Genomic DNA, 16741 nt, shown 5'->3' with positions numbered 1-16741 from the left:
GAATGATAAGAGACAGATGCAATCCTAGCTGGAAATTTACCTGGAAATGTATGGATCAATTAATCTAGAGATTGTCTGCAGTGTTGACGGTATACTCGCCCACACAGATACCCTTGGAGCGTTCTTGGTTTCCATGCAGTGCTCTCATTTCATGTCTGTTCTCTCTTTTCTTTAATAATCTGACCAATGCAACCTCACACTAAGTTAGGGGAAAGCAATAAAGCAGCAAGTCTAAAATAAACTGAATAGATGTGGGCCCTTCCATCAAAGCAGGAGGCAAAGAGTCCCCCCCCTCAGGCAGCTGTCAGGAGGTAAGGAGTGAGTGTGCCTCAGGGGCCCAGCCCTCATCTTTTCCTCCCCTTCACTTCTCCTACCCTCTTCCATCATCAGGAGACCTTAGTCCCATGCAAAGTCACAAGAAGTATCCAAAACAAATTTCAGATGCAATTTCAAACGTAGGACAAACATACATGAAAGAAGTAGAGAAAATGGAATAGAAAATGAGTTCAAACATTCTCACTGAATCTTCCCAGTAACATTGACAGTCTTCCCTGGAAATGGGAGGCCATCTTTTCTACCCCTCCTGTGACTCTCATATATTTTGCTAAACAATGTTTTTGTCAAATGTCTCTTCTTTTCAAGGATTTACTGATACTCCACAATTTTCTAAAGTGAGTTTCATGGAACACTGATCACAGGAGTTTCCGTGGAAAAGGGTCCCATGAGAAAATAAGTTTGGGAAACACTTTAAACTATATCTCCCTTCTGAAGAGAAACAGCGTACACTAGTCTATTATAGGTACTAAAATGTCTGTAGTAAAGAAATCTGTATAATCTGGTATTTCTCAAAATATTTACCCACTAAATTGATTTTTTTCTGATGTGAAAGATATTAACAGCAAATAAAATTGGCCTGTAACAAACTGTAGCAATTAATGTCCTTTACAGCAAGTTCAGACAACTTGGTTTGTGTTTTCAAAGCCAAGTCAGGTTCCACAAATCTGTCATCCTTAGCCCCTATTATCTCTCAGTATGAACCTTCTAATCCTGTAAGGTTGGCCCAATCTTTCAAAGAATGTGGCTTTATAGTTACAAAATATTCATCCACACTAACCACTGTTCAGACTCAGATATTAGAATCTCCCTGCAGAAAAACTGTTCATCTTAGTCAGACGTGGTAGCATGCACCTATAGTCCCAGCTACTCAGGAGGCTGAGACAGGAGGATCTCTTGAGCCCAGGAATTGAGGCTGCAGTGCACTATGATTGTGCCTGTGAATAGCCACTGCCCTCCAGCCTAGGCAACACAGTGAGAACCCATCCCTTAAGAAAGAAAGAAGGAGGGGAGGAAGGGAGGAAGGGGGGAAGGGAGGGAGGGAGGGAAGAACTACTGATCTGGCATACATGTGCTTGATGAATCTCTTCTTCTTTAGAAAAATAAAATGGAAAGAACTCAGGCTTACAACTAGTCATCTCTTTTTCCAAACTCTTCAAAAGATGGTTAATAAGAAAGCATAGCTAGAAGAAATTCTAAGCCCAAACTTCCTCCTAAACTAGGCATTTCTTTTCTAAAATCCCTTGTAATCAATGAGTCTCCTTTTGAACCCTGCTCTTGGAGAGGAATTCATTACCTTTTAAGTCAACACATCCCATTTCTGGACACCTCTAGTGGTTAAAGGAGTTTATTCTCATGTGTAAATAAAATCTGCCTCTTGAAACTCTTTGAGAAAAAACAGTATATTTGGGTCCAATGACCAGGGTGTGTGCAGGAGGGACGTGGCACGCAGTGCAGGTAACTCTGCTGTACTGCTTATCCAGAAAGGTGAATGCAGTGGCACAAAAGCAGCTCGGCCGCCTGTGGCATACAAGCACCGTCTTCTTCCACCCTCCAATGCATGAATATGCAGAGAAGCTTGCCGCACTTCTTCCTGAGCCTCTTAAGGTACAATGCTCTTCCTGCAGGAGGTGAATGTTATGGGGGAAAAAAAAAGGTATGATGCTCCCAGCTCAAAGAGACAGGAGTCTTATGATTCTAGGGGAGCGTCCCTAGGAAGCAGGGACATGGGCAGGGAATTTAGCCTGTGCACTGAACATCTGTAGTGGTGATCTGATAGCTACATCTGAAAGCAATCAGACAGAAGAAGGGAATTTATGAATTGCTGGCGAAACAAACCAATGTTCCCTTGTGTCACCTCTGAGCCTCTGCCTCTCTTTGGTTGCTCTCTTCACCATATCTTAGCAGAAATCACTTCCCAGGAGCCGTAGGCCTCTTGATGTTCTCATCTATGTCCTCAAGAGGTTTTTATCTCATCGCTCCTTAGCCTTTCTGCAAAGTTATTTGCATTTCTTTTACAAACAGTGAAACCATTTTTAATAAGTGCCATTTGGTTCATTTGGTCCAAATTACACTTAGATATTTTTTTCTACATGAGCTGTTTTTCTGCATCTGAAATGACTGATCTTTTAAATTGAACTAAGATGTTAAAATGTTGGCCAAGATTTCCATTTAGACATTAAACGAGTTAATACATGTGAAGAACCTAGAACAATGCTCAGTCCCGAGTGTTATCTATTATTATTTTACCATGTTCTCTACATTACCTAGAATAGATAAAGAAACATGGAAGAGCTGCAACCTCAGTTCAGCCCCAGATGTTCACAGAAGAGCAGAAGCAGAGAGTCAGCAGAGTCATGAACACATGCCTTCCAGTCCCTGAGTCTGGAGGGCACAGTTCTCTTTCATTCTCCCCATTCTTTTGTCCAGGCTGAGCTGCATTTTTTGTTTACTTGCTTTTTTTTTTCTTTTTGAGACGGAGTCTCACTCTGTCACCCAGGCTGCAGTGCAATGGCGCAATCTCGGCTCACTGCAATCTCTGCCTCCTGGGTTCAAGTGATTCTCCTGCCTCAGCCCCCCAAGTAGCTGGGATTACAGGTGCCCACCACCACACCTGGCTAATTTTTGTATCTTTAGTAGAGATGGGGTTTCACCATGATGGCCAGGCTGATCTCAAACTCCTGACCTCAAGTGATCCGCCCGCCTCAACCTCCCAAAGTGCTGGGATTACAGGCGTGAGCCACCGCACCCGGCTTGTTTACTTGTTTTTTCAACATTCACACACACAGCATAGTCAGGCTGGGACAACCCCTGGAGTTGCAGAGTCAGAGGTCCTGTCTTGTTCCAAGCCTTTAGAATCAGGTGACTGGGTTAGAGTTAGGAGCCAAGAAACCCAACCTTTGGATCTATCAGCTACTCACCACTGCGTGCCCCTCAGCAAGTCTCCCTTGGCATTTTGCAGACCATCAAATAAAGCCATTAAAAGCCAGGAATGTTGCACAGCTGAGACAATCTCTTAGCCATTTTTGTATGTCTGGCACTTAGTGGCTACTGGAGGAAGGGCTATGGAATTCATACTGTGGTTAAATGATGGAACTGCTGGGTAACCCGAGCTGGTCTGAAGGGAACTCTCCTTAATACTCAGGGGCTGGACACCTGCCCTTCAGCAATTTTAAGTGAATGGGTAATAAGGAAATAAATTATGAGGCCACGTGTCTTCCTTTCCTCTCCAGGTCATTTTCTTGGTGAACAGTGGCTCAGAAGCCAATGAGCTGGCCATGCTGATGGCCAGGGCGCACTCAAACAACATAGACATCATTTCTTTCAGGTAATCACAACTTGGAATATTCAACTTTAGGAACACTGACTTACCCCCATTCTAAATGTGTAGCTTTACATTGTAGCATGGAGTGGGAGAGAGGTTTTCTCAGGGATATTTTTCTAGTTGTTAAGTTTTAAGGAAGGATAGGTCAATTGAATTTTATGACAGGATAACACCATTCAAGTTGGCCTGATACAAGAGAGGGGGCCCCAACTGGTCACGACCAGCTTGAAGTCCTCATTATGTCATAGATCCTCCTGTGGACATTAAGAGAAACCCACATGACAGTTTTTTAACTTTGAAGATGTGGCGGGGACCACACCATATACCAAGTGGTAAATGACTGTTCCCCACCTTAGAAGATCAAGGCTCTACCAAAAAATACCGGCCTATTTTAATTTCTGCTTATGATAAGGAGCTGTCCACTGATTTCATAGTGCCAGCTGCACCCATTTTTTACCTTTTATTCTCCTTAAGTTCAGAGGATGAACATATAACCCTGTATATTTCTGCTTCTTTCAGTGACTTTTGAGCACTGATAATAGATTCATTAATAAACCCTTAATGGCTACATTAGCACTAAAAATAATAGAAAACTATGCATTTTGCTTACAGTTGCCTCCCTTGGGTAATTGTATACAGCATATTTAAACAGACTCCTGTAAAGTTAATGTAAAAGACAGGAGTGGCTTATGGTAAAAGTTGATGGAATGAATAAACAGTTGCATTTTTAAGCTGTCTGGTTATAATTTCTGTGTGAATTCAAAAGAAGATTTTATTTAATCCTTATGACAGCACATTCAATACTGCACATTCCATATCAAATGAGCATGCTGTTATTACAGGAATAAGAAATATGACAATAAAGAATTGTGATTGATGTATTACCTAAATGACATTCCAGAATATGTGTGTCGAGGTAAGTATTAAGTAGTCATGGTACTACCAGGGTTCAACACACATTTTGTCTCCTTTTTCAAGATACATTAGGTCGGTGCAAAAGTAATTGAGATTTCTGCCATTAAAAGTAATGGCAAAAACCACAATTACTTTTGCACCAACCTAATACAACCATTCTTTTGAATAGTCTTAACGGTCCTAAATCCTTGTTTAAAGGTGATTTTGATATGGGAAATTGTTCGAACTCATTTGAAGCTTACACTGATGATTAGGAGCATTTATACTAAATATGACTGTTTCACGTTCAAAAGAAACAAAACCTGTGTTTCTTAGATGGAGAATAAGGTGATTTATAAGGTGTGTAAGTCCCTAAAGATATTGAACAACAGGTATATCATAGGAAAAAATATTTGGCTTCCCAAAGCGACTACTTCGAAGACTGGTATTCATTGAACATACAATTTCTGGTATGTTGTTGCTAAAAGATGAGTCTCATTACTATGGAATAATAGAGTAGGGAAGGTCCTAAGATTGGAGTTCTTGGACAAATGTTCTCCAAAATTCCTTTCACAGTTTCAAATCTGTTTTCTAACAACAGTTAGAAAAGACTATTAAGTACATTGATCCGACATAAGCTTAGATGCGTTCTTAGAAATCAGAGGTGAATGCGAATGATGTTCTATTTCATCTTCATAGCCTTCCTGGGTTTTCTCTTTTGTCCTACTCAGTGGACCAGGAACTTGACCCCATCCTCCTGTTGTTTCTTCTCTGCAGAGGAGCCTACCATGGATGCAGTCCTTACACACTTGGCTTGACAAACGTAGGGACCTACAAGATGGAACTCCCTGGTGGGACAGGTTGCCAACCAGTGAGTTTGGAGATTTTTCTCTTGTTTCTTTAAAGACTGCTGGGTATGTGAAGTAGTTGATCAGGTTTTCCTGGTATAAGGATTAGAAACTAATATAAAGCCTGTCATTAATCAGGGGCTCAATTTGACCTAATTGAATTGGAGACCACTTGAGGACACCATTAGAAAGGCCTTCCGAGTCTGAGTAATAATTAATGACAGAGTTTTAAAATGTATTTTGCTTTTAAATAAAATCAAGTAAACTGCAAGGCTCTGAGAATCTTGAATGCACAAAACTTCTATGCAGTCATCACTGTACTCACCTTCTGTTCCCACTTACTGTACCCACATTTTCAGCATCTGAATCAGATACCTAATTATTCTTATTCTTTCAGATGCCCTTACCCACTGCACCCTTGAGCAAGCTGTTTCCAGGCTAACATTGAAATCAGTTTCCTTTGTAGAGGGCCCACATAGCTGATTTCTAAGAAAAAATTATCTCTTCAAAGCAGATCCTTCAATTTTCATCTTAAGTGGGGGAAGAATGAGGGAGGAAAACTAAGAAGCCCTCTTGTCTTGATGGCAGCCATATGCTACCCTAACTTGGCTGTCTTGTGTTCATGCTTTGCCACACTCCTTCTTTTGTCATTTGCAGACAATGTGTCCAGATGTTTTTCGTGGCCCTTGGGGAGGAAGCCACTGTCGAGATTCTCCAGTGCAAACAATCAGGAAGTGCAGCTGTGCACCAGGTCCGACTGGGCAAGGGGGGTGCCAGTGGAGTGTTGGAAGTTGGAAGGGACACGAATAAAGGCAGACCCATCCCTGAGGGAACAATTGAATTTGAAAACATGGAAAAGGGAAAAGCCAGAGGAAGCAAAACTGGAAAGTAACCAAGTTATTCCTCATTGAATCAACGCTTATGTCTGCTATCACTTCACTCTCAGACCATCTGTCTGGCCATGTAGGAAAAGCATCTCACGCTATCAGAGCCAAGCTCAAAAAAACGACTATCAGCTGGTACTTGATTCAAGGCATTCTATTAGCTCTATTATAATAGCAATAGCTCTGGTGTCAATTTTAAAAGACAACAAGCTGGGCGTGGTGGCATGCCTGTAGTCCCAGTTACTCGGGAGGCTGAGGTGGGAGGATTGCTTGAGCTGAGGAAGTCGAGGCTGCAGTGATTCATGATTATGCCACTGCACTCCAGCCTGCATGAAAGAGCAAGGCCCGGCGGGGCATGGTGGCTGACAGCTATAATCCCAGCACTTTGGGAGGTTGAGGCGGGCAGATCACCTGAGGTCGGGAGTTTGAGACCAGCTGGCCAACATGGTGAAATGGTGTCTCTATTAAAAATACAAAAATTAGCTAGGCATGGTAGTGTGCACCTATAATCCCAGCTACTCGGGAGGCTGAGGCTCAAGAATCACTTGAACCTGGGAGGCAGAGGTTGCAGTGAACTGAGATAACGCCACTGCACTCCAACCTGGGCAACAGAACAAGACTCCATCTCAAAAAAAAAAAAAAAAAAAAAAAAAAAGCAAGATCCCATCTCTAAAATGAAAAAACTAAACAACAACCAAAAAAAAAAAAAAAACAAGAAATCAAGATGGGTGGGATTATTAACCCATACCAGTGGAAAGAGGGAAAATAATGCTTTTGGCAATCTCAAAACTCCAGTCAAAAAGTTCTCCAGGGACTGCCAGCCAAAATGAGAGCATCCGTCAAACAAAACACAAGGCTGCCCTTCCTACAGGCTGCTGACAACCCTGGCAAAAGTTTTAAAGGCTTTCTCACAAGGAGAACTTCCATTTACCAATCACATTTTTATTCGCATTCTTTACCTACGCTTAACAGGAGGGAGAGGAGGCAGGAAACATCATCTGTTCCTTGCTAATCAACAAGCCCTGCCTCTGATTTGTCATCACAACCTTTTTAATAGCCGCTCCTTAGTACTTCTGAAGGAAATAACTAAATGCTTCAGCCCAGTGATTTTTAATGGAATAGTATGAATCACTGGGTTGAGAGGAAAAATACAAAACAGAAGTCTTAAAAACCAGCTCTGAAAGGAAAAAAATTCACCATCGTCTTAAAATTCAGATGACATAATAGCAAAATGGAGGTAAGAGAATGAAAGAGTAAGTAGTGAAAGAAGACAAGATGTCACGCTCATGGAATTTAAAACCAGAAGGAAATGTAAAGCTATAAATCAAACTCTCCACTTTAAACATCAGGAAAGCCAGTTTCACATGGAGGAGACTGGAGAGCTAAGATTTTACCCCAGGTCTTCTGACTCCAAAGCCAGTGCTCCCAATTCCTATAGCCATCCTCATCCACACTGATGTGCCGTCAAGATAAACCCAAGCTGAAAAAGCATTCCTATTCCACAGGCCAGGACTGAGGAGCTGCATGAAGTCAAGAGATGGATTCCACTCTCAGCCCTGGCATGGTTCAGCTATGAGCAAAAGCTTCACCTTTTGCTTCAGTTTTCTCATTTGTAAAACAGAGACAGCAATATCTGGCTGCTGCCAACACCATCACGGCACTTCATGAGATGAGGCACGGAGAACTTTTGTAGAGAAAAACAGACCATAGCAATGCCTGGTAAAGCCGTATTTGAATATTGCATCTGTAAGGCATCAAGAACTAAAATCAGTTTGATGCACCTCCCAGACCCTGGTCTGACTGCAAAACCACCAGCACAGAGCCTAGTAGACGGAAGCACTAAAAGGTGGTCATTTCCTTCTTTTCCTGCTATATGTTCCTCTTTCCACATAGAAGAGACACAAGCCTACTATAAGGCCTTCTATAGGACTACTTAAGCCAATTTGACAATACCAGAAATCCATGGTCATCTCTCTAGTGGCATCTAGAGGCTAAATGATAGTGACAGGCGTACATTTCTGCTCTGAACTGTTGCCTTTGGCATATCTGAAGTCAGTTGTTTTCTTTTTTATTTATGTATTTTTTTTTTTGAGACAAAGTCTCACTCTTGTCCCCCAGACTGGAGTGCAATGGCGCGATCTCGGCTCACTGCAACCTCCGCCTCCCGGGTTCAAGCGATTCTCCTGCCTCAGCTTCCCGAGTAGCGGGGATTACAGGTGCCTGCCACCACGCCCAGCTAATTTTTGTATTTTTAGTAGAGACCGGGTTTCACCATGTTGGCCAGGCTGGTCTCGAACTCCTGACTTCAGGTGATCCGCTCGCCTTGGCCTCCCAAAGTGCTGGGATCACATGCGTGAGCCACCATGCCCGGCCAGCTGTTTTCTTAACTCACATCTTCAAGGGACAAGACTATTTATGGAATCTTTGAACAGGATTGGAATACAAAAGAAAGACCCCAGTCTCCTTCACTGCCTTTAGGACCTGGGAAGGGTTTGGTCTTTGCTGTAAAACTGGAATATTCATATATGTTTACAAAAGCATCCAAACATGTACAGTTCTTTGACTATAGATGTTGCCTGTTCTCAATTCCTCTTAACCTATTGATAGGAATACCTTAAGAGGAATTGAGGCACCAACCATGGTAGAGATTTTTCTCATCTCAGAAATATGTCATCCCTCCCAACAGAGGCAGGGGGCCATTTTGTGAGTCTAATCTAGATGTTTATATGGTATATTTATTTGTCCTACTCCATCTACCTCCCAGGATTTTTTCCCCAGGGGTTCATTCCAGGCCCTGAGTTTCAAGTGTAATCCATGACGAGATTCACTCCTCATCACCTACTGCCCCCACAATGTTCCAAACCTCGTACTGATCATGTCATTCTTCTTCTTTTGAAAGGCAAGTTTTGTTTTTCTTAAAAATTGTAGTTCTTTCTTGGCTCCTCACTCAGCTTAACTCTTTCTGTACCACTAGCTGGAATAAATTCTTCCTTCGTCATCCTGTTGTAGTATCCAACAGAACATCCTGTCTCCACCCGCTTGGGGTTTTCTTCCTGCCAAGCCTCTGCAGAAGTGGCCTAACCTAGGGTTACATCAATGAGTCAATGCAGCTAGTGCGAAATAAAGTAAAAAGCTCATCACAGTCAATGACTCTCTCATCGCTGAGCATGTGGGCAGAGAGGGAAAAAAGTCATGAAAGGTCTAGCATAGGTTCAGGCAAAACCTTTTGGTTTGGTTCTGCCCAAATTTAAGCTCCACTCTTTGATTTCTCCAGTTACAAATGGGCTTGTTAAATTTCCAAATTACTTCTCTTGAACATAGGTCTGATCCATCTTTTAGGGTCATCTGAAGCTGTTTTCTCTTCCTTTCCCAATAAAAACGGGAAATTTCTGTCTCTAGAGGCATAGATTTATTTGTCTACTATATTCTTCTCATCAAAACAACACAAGTGATGCCAAAAACATATTTTCAGGGTTTCATATACTTGTCATTTCTTCCTTTCTCACACCCTTAACCTCCAACCTCCAGCTAACCAAAGATATCAGGTACCTCTGTCAATCAAACTTTTCCGAATATCACATGTAATCTAAAAATATGTTTGGGGCCAGCTAGTATTTCCTCACTTTTAATGAAGAGCTGAGGTATAAAATTCGGTTTTGATGGTGATTGCAGAAGGTTTCTGTTCCTTCTGTCTAGCACCGTGGAGACAGCACTGCATCCATGCCTCTAAGCAAGCACTGGGATGGTAGGTGGGGAGCCCTGTCCCACACTGCTTTCACTGTCACTCGGGTTGAGGCTTTCCATCCCTTCCACATCTTTCTCTGCACTCCTTTGGTCATCTATGGATATAAATTTAAGTTCAGAGACTGCATGGTACTGTTTAGAACCAAATAACAGGTGTGGATAAAAATTCTGAAGATTCAGTCATGTATGGATACAGTTGACCTGGGACCTTTGTTATTCCAGAGTAGAAGAATTTCTCTCTCTCTCTCTCTCTCTCTCTCTCTCTCTCTCTCTCTCTCTCTCTCTCTCTCTCTCTCACCTTTCCTGCTTCCTTGGTGATTCCCACTTCCAATTCTGACACACAGATGAAGGCTTCTGGAGCTTGGGCAAGTCTGCTGGGCAATCTTCCCACTCATCTCTAGTCCTCTCCCATCCACAGGATTTCATGCCTGTGTGTCTGTGTGGTGAGGCTTGCAGCTAGTGAAGCATGGCAGAAATGTTTCTAGTATCTTTAAGCAGGATTAGAAAGTAGACATGGTTAGTGCTAAGAAAACTGAGCTGGATGGACAGCTAGTACTGGTAACATGATAGCCTGGGTTTTCTCCAGTGGAAAACAACTAAAAAATCCTGGATAAAATGAAATGCATTCCCTTCAAAGCATGGATACAAGAAAGCACGAATTCTCAGAAACGCAAATAGATCATTACGGCACTGCAGCCCCCTTTGACCCTGAGAGAATTTCTTGAACCTGGTAACCTTGAGCTTCCATGTTGATGGCTCTGTGGAGTGCAGGGAAGAGATGACGAAGTCCAGGGCCCAGCCAAAGTAAGGGATCTTATAGGAAACCCTCCCCTGCCACAAAGCTGGAGCCCCCAAGAGGCCACATCTTCATCCATGGGTCAACTAGAATTAAATACACCACCAAGAACATATTACCCCTCACAGGCCAAAGGGCCTGCAAGGATTCTGGTGCTGAATGGAAGTGGAGGGACTGGGAGGAGCCACCACTGAAAGTTTCACCTGCAGACTGGCCCTCCAAGGCTTTGCATTGTGAACGCTCACTTCCTCAAGCTCATAATTTAAAGGACTCTTAGACTCTAATGCCCTACGCACTTGGAAGCTGCAAACTCAGATAGGCTCTGGAGGGATCTACCTCATTCTGGGCCTCAAAGAATTCTCACAAATGAAATTCCAAGGAAAATAAACTGCCCCTTGTCAAAAATAAATATACAATACACAAAACTCCGCAATCAAGAAAAAGATCAGCAAGGATTTCAAATAACAGAATTATCAGATAGGCTATAAAATGAATATGTTTAATACATTTAAAGAAAATCAAATATAAGCTTGAAAATATGCGAAAGGGATAGGACACTGTGAAGAATAAGAAAGCAAGTTTTAAAAGCAAATATGCCTTCTAGTAATATAAAAGTGATTATTGAAATTTAAAACTCAGCATGTGGGTTTATCAGCAGTAAGATGCAGCCAAAAGGAGAAGTAATGAATTAAAGACAGATCACTTCAACAAGGACACTTTACTGCTTTTCCCCATTAGAAAGATCTCCAAAAAGAAAGAAAGAAAGAAAGGCCTTCAAGCAAAATTGCTCAATGTCTCACTCCAGCCATGATTTCTACTATTTGTTAATATTTTCTTCTTAATGCGTTAAACATTTACTGAGCACCACCTACAGTGTACCAAACAGCTTGCCTGGCCACAGAGATTTTAGAAATGAACAAAGTATAGTCCCTGCCCACAAAAACCTCCTGATTAATCGGAGAAAGTCCTGTTAAAAACAAGCACAGGACCAAGTGCCAAGGGCTGCGATGGATGGAAGCCACCTAGCTCTCGAACATTTCTCTTTAGACTGAATTCTAATTGTTCTACAAGCATATTTACTAACTCTAAAGACAAAGACACTTTGTAGCTTTAAAACGGTACATCAGATTAAATGGCAATGAAAGGTAAATAGAGTTATTTTCAAATAAATTAAATCGCTCTAATTACATTTGAATTAGATCCACCTGTTTGAGAGGACGGGCATCCTTAGGTGAAACAGCTATCTATACCAGCTCAATGACACTTTGGGACGTTTCTTCCCCAGATGGAAAGAACTGAAGTGGTTTGTTTATGCCTTTATGGCTATCTTAATCTCCCTCCTTGAACCAAAGTACAAGTTGTTCAGAGAGAACATTCCCCCTTCAGAAATGCATATCCTCACCCCAGTTTACCGTATTCTGAAGTCCCTGATTAACTTACCCTGTCTGGTTGTTTTTTTTTTTTCCTGTTTTTCCCCATGTTTCTAAATATCAGGCTCACATTTTCAAATGCTGTGGTTTGTTTTGTTTTGTTGTTTGCTTTTTGCAGACTGCTGCCAAGCTAAAGATCAGTATATTGAGCAATTCAAAGATACGCTGAGCACATCTGTGGCCAAGTCAATTGCTGGATTTTTCGCAGAACCTATTCAAGTGGGTATATGAACCTTAGACATTAATGGAGCTGAATCTTCAATTATCAGAAAGTTTTAACTCATATATTCTAGAGAATTCCAAATGAATTAAGTGCTCACTGTGTCCCTCTCTAAATTCATTCTCTTGGTCTCCTTGAAAAAAGAAGACGCTGACTTTCAAATGACCTTTTAAAAACCCTCTCCTCCATTCTCACCAGACAGATGAAACTACCGAACTCCTAAAATTCTTAAGAAGAGGAAACCCTGGCCATTTTTAGCTGCTTAATAACATCCGCATTGTCCAAAGAACTCTTTCTTTAGTCTCACCAATTTCTTTTATTCTACTGTTTTCTAATCTCAGAAAATAATCAATGTTTGCATCTTTTTTCCAGAAGTCATGGTATAGAGTAATAAGTCCTCTTTTCACCCACAGTGGAAACTGTTCTACAGACTGTTGTTAAAATTGCTAGTGTTACTGTCATGATAATGATGATAATGATGATCTAACTTTTTTATATACTTTGAAAGGGCTGATGCTATTATTATAGGTCTTCTTGGTCTGGTCTTTTGCAGGGTGTGAATGGAGTTGTCCAGTACCCAAAGGGGTTTCTAAAGGAAGCCTTTGAGCTGGTGCGAGCAAGGGGAGGCGTGTGCATTGCAGATGAAGTAAGTGGCATGTAAGGGTGCCATTGAGTGCAGTGGGAACAGGAGATGCACAGACAGAAACCTCCTAAACTTCCTCTGTGTTCCAGGCAGAAAGCCTCTGCTCTGTGAATTCCAAAGTTTGCCTACAAATGAATGAAATTTGTGCTAGTGGGCTGGTTGATTTGTTAGTACATTCGCTGATCAGTTTAACAAGTATAACAGAACTTAAATCTCCAAATTGATGTCTATCAAATAAGTTGCTAACAGCCATATGTGATGTTATTAGACCGTGACTCAATATATTTTTTTAATTCCTTTCTAGGGATTGTTTCAGGGGCTGACAAACATCATAGGAAATTTAATCTCATAGCCAAGGTTTTTGTTGTTTTTATTTGTTTGGTTATTTTGAGACAAAGTCTCGCTCTGTCATCCAGGCTGAAGTACAGTGGTACAATCTCGACTCACCGCAACCTCCGCCTCCTGGGGTTCAAGGGATTCTTCTGCCACAGCCTCCCGAGTAGCTGGGACCACAGGCATGTGCCACCAAGCCTGACTAATTTTTGTATTTTTAGTAAAGACAGGGTTTCACCATGTTGGCCAGGCTGATCTTGAATTCCTGACCTCAAGTGATCCGCCCGCCTTGGCCTCCCAAAGTACTGGCATTAGAGACGTGAGCCACCGTGCCAGGCCTGATAGCCAAGTTTTTAATCTTTATTTTTGCAAAAATAGTATTTACCAACCTGGCAGCATATACCTTTCTGACAAAACTTGCCTGGAAATAATGTGGGTTTTTTTGTTTGTTTGTTTCTTTTTGAGACAGAATTTCTTTCTTGTTGCCCAGGCTGGAGTGCAGTGGTGCAATCTCAGCTCACCACAGCCTCTGCCTCCCAGGTTCAAGTGATTCTCCTGCCTCAGCCTCCCGAGTAGCTGGGATTACAGGCATCCGCCACCACACCCGGCTAGTTTTGTATTTTTTAGTAGAGACTGGGGTTTCTCCGTGTTGGTCAGGCTGGTCTCGAACTCCTGACCTCAGGTGATCTGCCCACCTTGGCGTCCCAAAGTGCTGGGTTTACAGGCATGAGCCACCGCGCCTGGCCGAAATAATGTTTTTAAAATAATAATAATAATCCAGCCTCTAAATTAGAGGAGTACCACCAACTGCAGGTACTGCATTTGAAAATAGTTCCCCAAAAATTGTAAAATAGGTTGAATTAAAGCAGCATTAAAGCATTAAAGCACACTACTCCCAAGGGCATTACTTTAATGGGAAGAAAATTCGTTGGCTATGTGAGCTCTAGCCTGTGTGTTTTCAAAAGGGATTAATTTACTTATAATCACACCTCATATTAGAGTGTATCAAATAAAGCAGTCCTCTGTCTACTGAGAGTAGCTATGGAGATTAAAAGACCAGAGGATGATCACTAGGGCCACCGAAGCCATGTCTCACTGCTGGGTGACTATCATGATTGGACTAACAGGTGGTTAGACCAGCCAAGGACAGGTGGAGAACCTGTAAGTATGTTTCACACCTATTTCTGTCCAGCCATCATTGCTGGAATAGACTTCCTCAACTAAAAATTTCCTACAGCTAGGTTGGGCGCAGTGGCTCACATCTGTCATCCCAGCACTTTGGGATGCTGAGGCAGGCCGGTCACTTGAGGTCAGGAGTTCAAAACCAGCCCAGCCAACATGGTGAAACACCATCTGTACTAAAAATACAAAAAGTAGCTGGGTGTGGTAGTGCATGCCTGTAATCCCAGCTGCTCAGGACGCTGACGCAGGAGAATGTTTGAACCCAGGAGGTGGAGGTTGCAATGAGCCAAGATCATGCCATTGCACTCCAGCCTGGGCAACGGAGCAAAACTCCATCTCAAAATAAATAAATAAATAAATAAATAAATAAATAAATAAATAAATAAATATTCCCTACAGCTGACACTGAGCTGTCACATCAGCAGAAATTTTGCAATTTCTGCCTGGGCAGCTGGGTCTCTGTTATGCCCAGGTGTATTGGATGTCCCTGGTGTACCACAGGCAACTTGGGCCAGCCTGCTCCTGCTGAGACCATCCTCCCTTCTCCAATCTGCCCACAAACTGATCGAAGTCCAGGCTGGAGAAAGTTAATCTGCTACTTTAAAAAAATGAGTATATCCAGTCAGCTTGAAATTAGCTACATCAGTAAAAAGGATAAACTTTGGCCTCCAAATCAGCACATAGTGAAGCTGTCACAGTCAGACTAATTAAAGAGAAGGTAGGCTGAATTCAAAGGAAATATGAATTTCAAAATTTTCTGTCTTGTGGTTTTATGACTTTCAAACAATGTAATTGAAAACTATCTAACACAGGCAATCCTCAAGAAGGACTATCGCGAGGACTAGGTAAAAATAAGAATAGCTGGAACTCTCTGAGTACCTGCTATGTGTCAGACACTGTTCATAACACTTTGCATGTGTTAACTCAGTTCATACCTATCAACTGTTCTATAGTATGCCCTGTTGCTGCTGTTCCCACGTATTAGTCCTTTCTCATGCTGCTGATAAAGAAATACCTGAGACTGGGTAATTTATAAAGAAAAAGAGGTTTTTCTTTTTTCTTTTTTCTTTTTTCTTTTTTTTTTTACATCTGCCATCACCACAATTTTATTAAAAATGAAGCAAATAAGACAAAGAATATGTGAAACCTATACAAACAAATGAATAAAACAATATCGGAATAAAAGGCACTCTTTTAAATTGAAAATAGTTTTGTAAAGTAAACTCACTAATTAAAAAAAAAAATTTGCAGAAGACAAACATTTAGGAGCCAGTGATTGAAATCACCAAGACTCTTTTATGCTAACTTTCCCTTTTTGGGCGTCAATTACTACTCTGCCTTTTCTAGTTTACAGTATTCTTCATAGAAAAATGTAGAAGAAAAACAATATTATCAGAGTTCTGTCTCCCTCTGGTACTTGGTTAATATTATAGCATATTCTAAAGGGAAGGGCTCTAGGTTTTCCTTGTGCTTTTTCTTTTCTTTTCCTTTTTTTTTTTTTTTACTTCTCTCTTTTTATTTATTATTATTATACTTTAAGTTTTAGGGTACATGTGCACAATGTGCAGGTTAGTTGCATATGTATACATGTGCCATGCTGGTGCGCTGCACCCACTAACTCGTCATCTAGCATTAGGCATATGTCCCAATGCTATCCCTCCCCCCTCCCCCCACCCCACAACAGTCCCTAGACTGTGATGCTCCCCTTCCTGTGTCCACGTGTTCTCATTGTTCAATTCCCACCTATGAGTGAGAATATGCGGTGCTTGGTTTTTTGTTCTTGCGATATTTTACTGAGAATGATTATTTCCAATTTCATCCATGTCCCTTCAAAGGACATGAACTCATCATTTTTTATGGCTGCATAGTATTCCATGGTGTATATGTGCCACATTTTCTTAATCCAGTCTATCATTGTTGGACATTTGGGTTGGTTCCAAGTCTTTGCTATTGTGAATAGTGCCACAATAAACATACGTGTGCATGTGTCTTTATAGCAGCGTGATTTATAGTCCTTTGGGTATATACCCAGTAATGGGATGGCTGGGTCAATGGTATTTCTAGTTCTAGATCCCTGAGGAATCACCACACTGACTTCCACAATGGTTG

General features: G+C 41.6%; 1 protein-coding gene across 6 annotated transcripts in view; it reads left to right on the top strand.

The window, feature by feature from the left end:
• AGXT2 (alanine--glyoxylate aminotransferase 2) overlaps positions 1-16741 on the top strand; it is a 49848-nt gene that overhangs the window by 9067 nt on the left and 24040 nt on the right. For 5 of the 6 annotated variants that reach the window (NM_001438585.1, NM_001438583.1, NM_001306173.2 and 2 more), the window contains 6 exons: positions 1818-1941; positions 3567-3661; positions 5330-5423; positions 6058-6151; positions 12373-12473; positions 13028-13120. In NM_001438585.1, the coding sequence (NP_001425514.1) occupies positions 1818-1941; positions 3567-3661; positions 5330-5423; positions 6058-6151; positions 12373-12473; positions 13028-13120 (601 nt within the window). The remainder of the gene's footprint in view (positions 1-1817; positions 1942-3566; positions 3662-5329; positions 5424-6057; positions 6152-12372; positions 12474-13027; positions 13121-16741) is intronic. The other variant, NM_001438584.1, reaches the window with a different exon arrangement.

Source organism: Homo sapiens, chromosome 5, assembly GCF_000001405.40.
Source record: "Homo sapiens chromosome 5, GRCh38.p14 Primary Assembly".
Taxonomy (NCBI): Eukaryota; Metazoa; Chordata; class Mammalia; order Primates; family Hominidae; genus Homo; species Homo sapiens.
The sequence above is the reverse complement of the archived record's forward strand: the minus strand, read 5'-3'. Positions and strand labels throughout refer to the sequence as shown.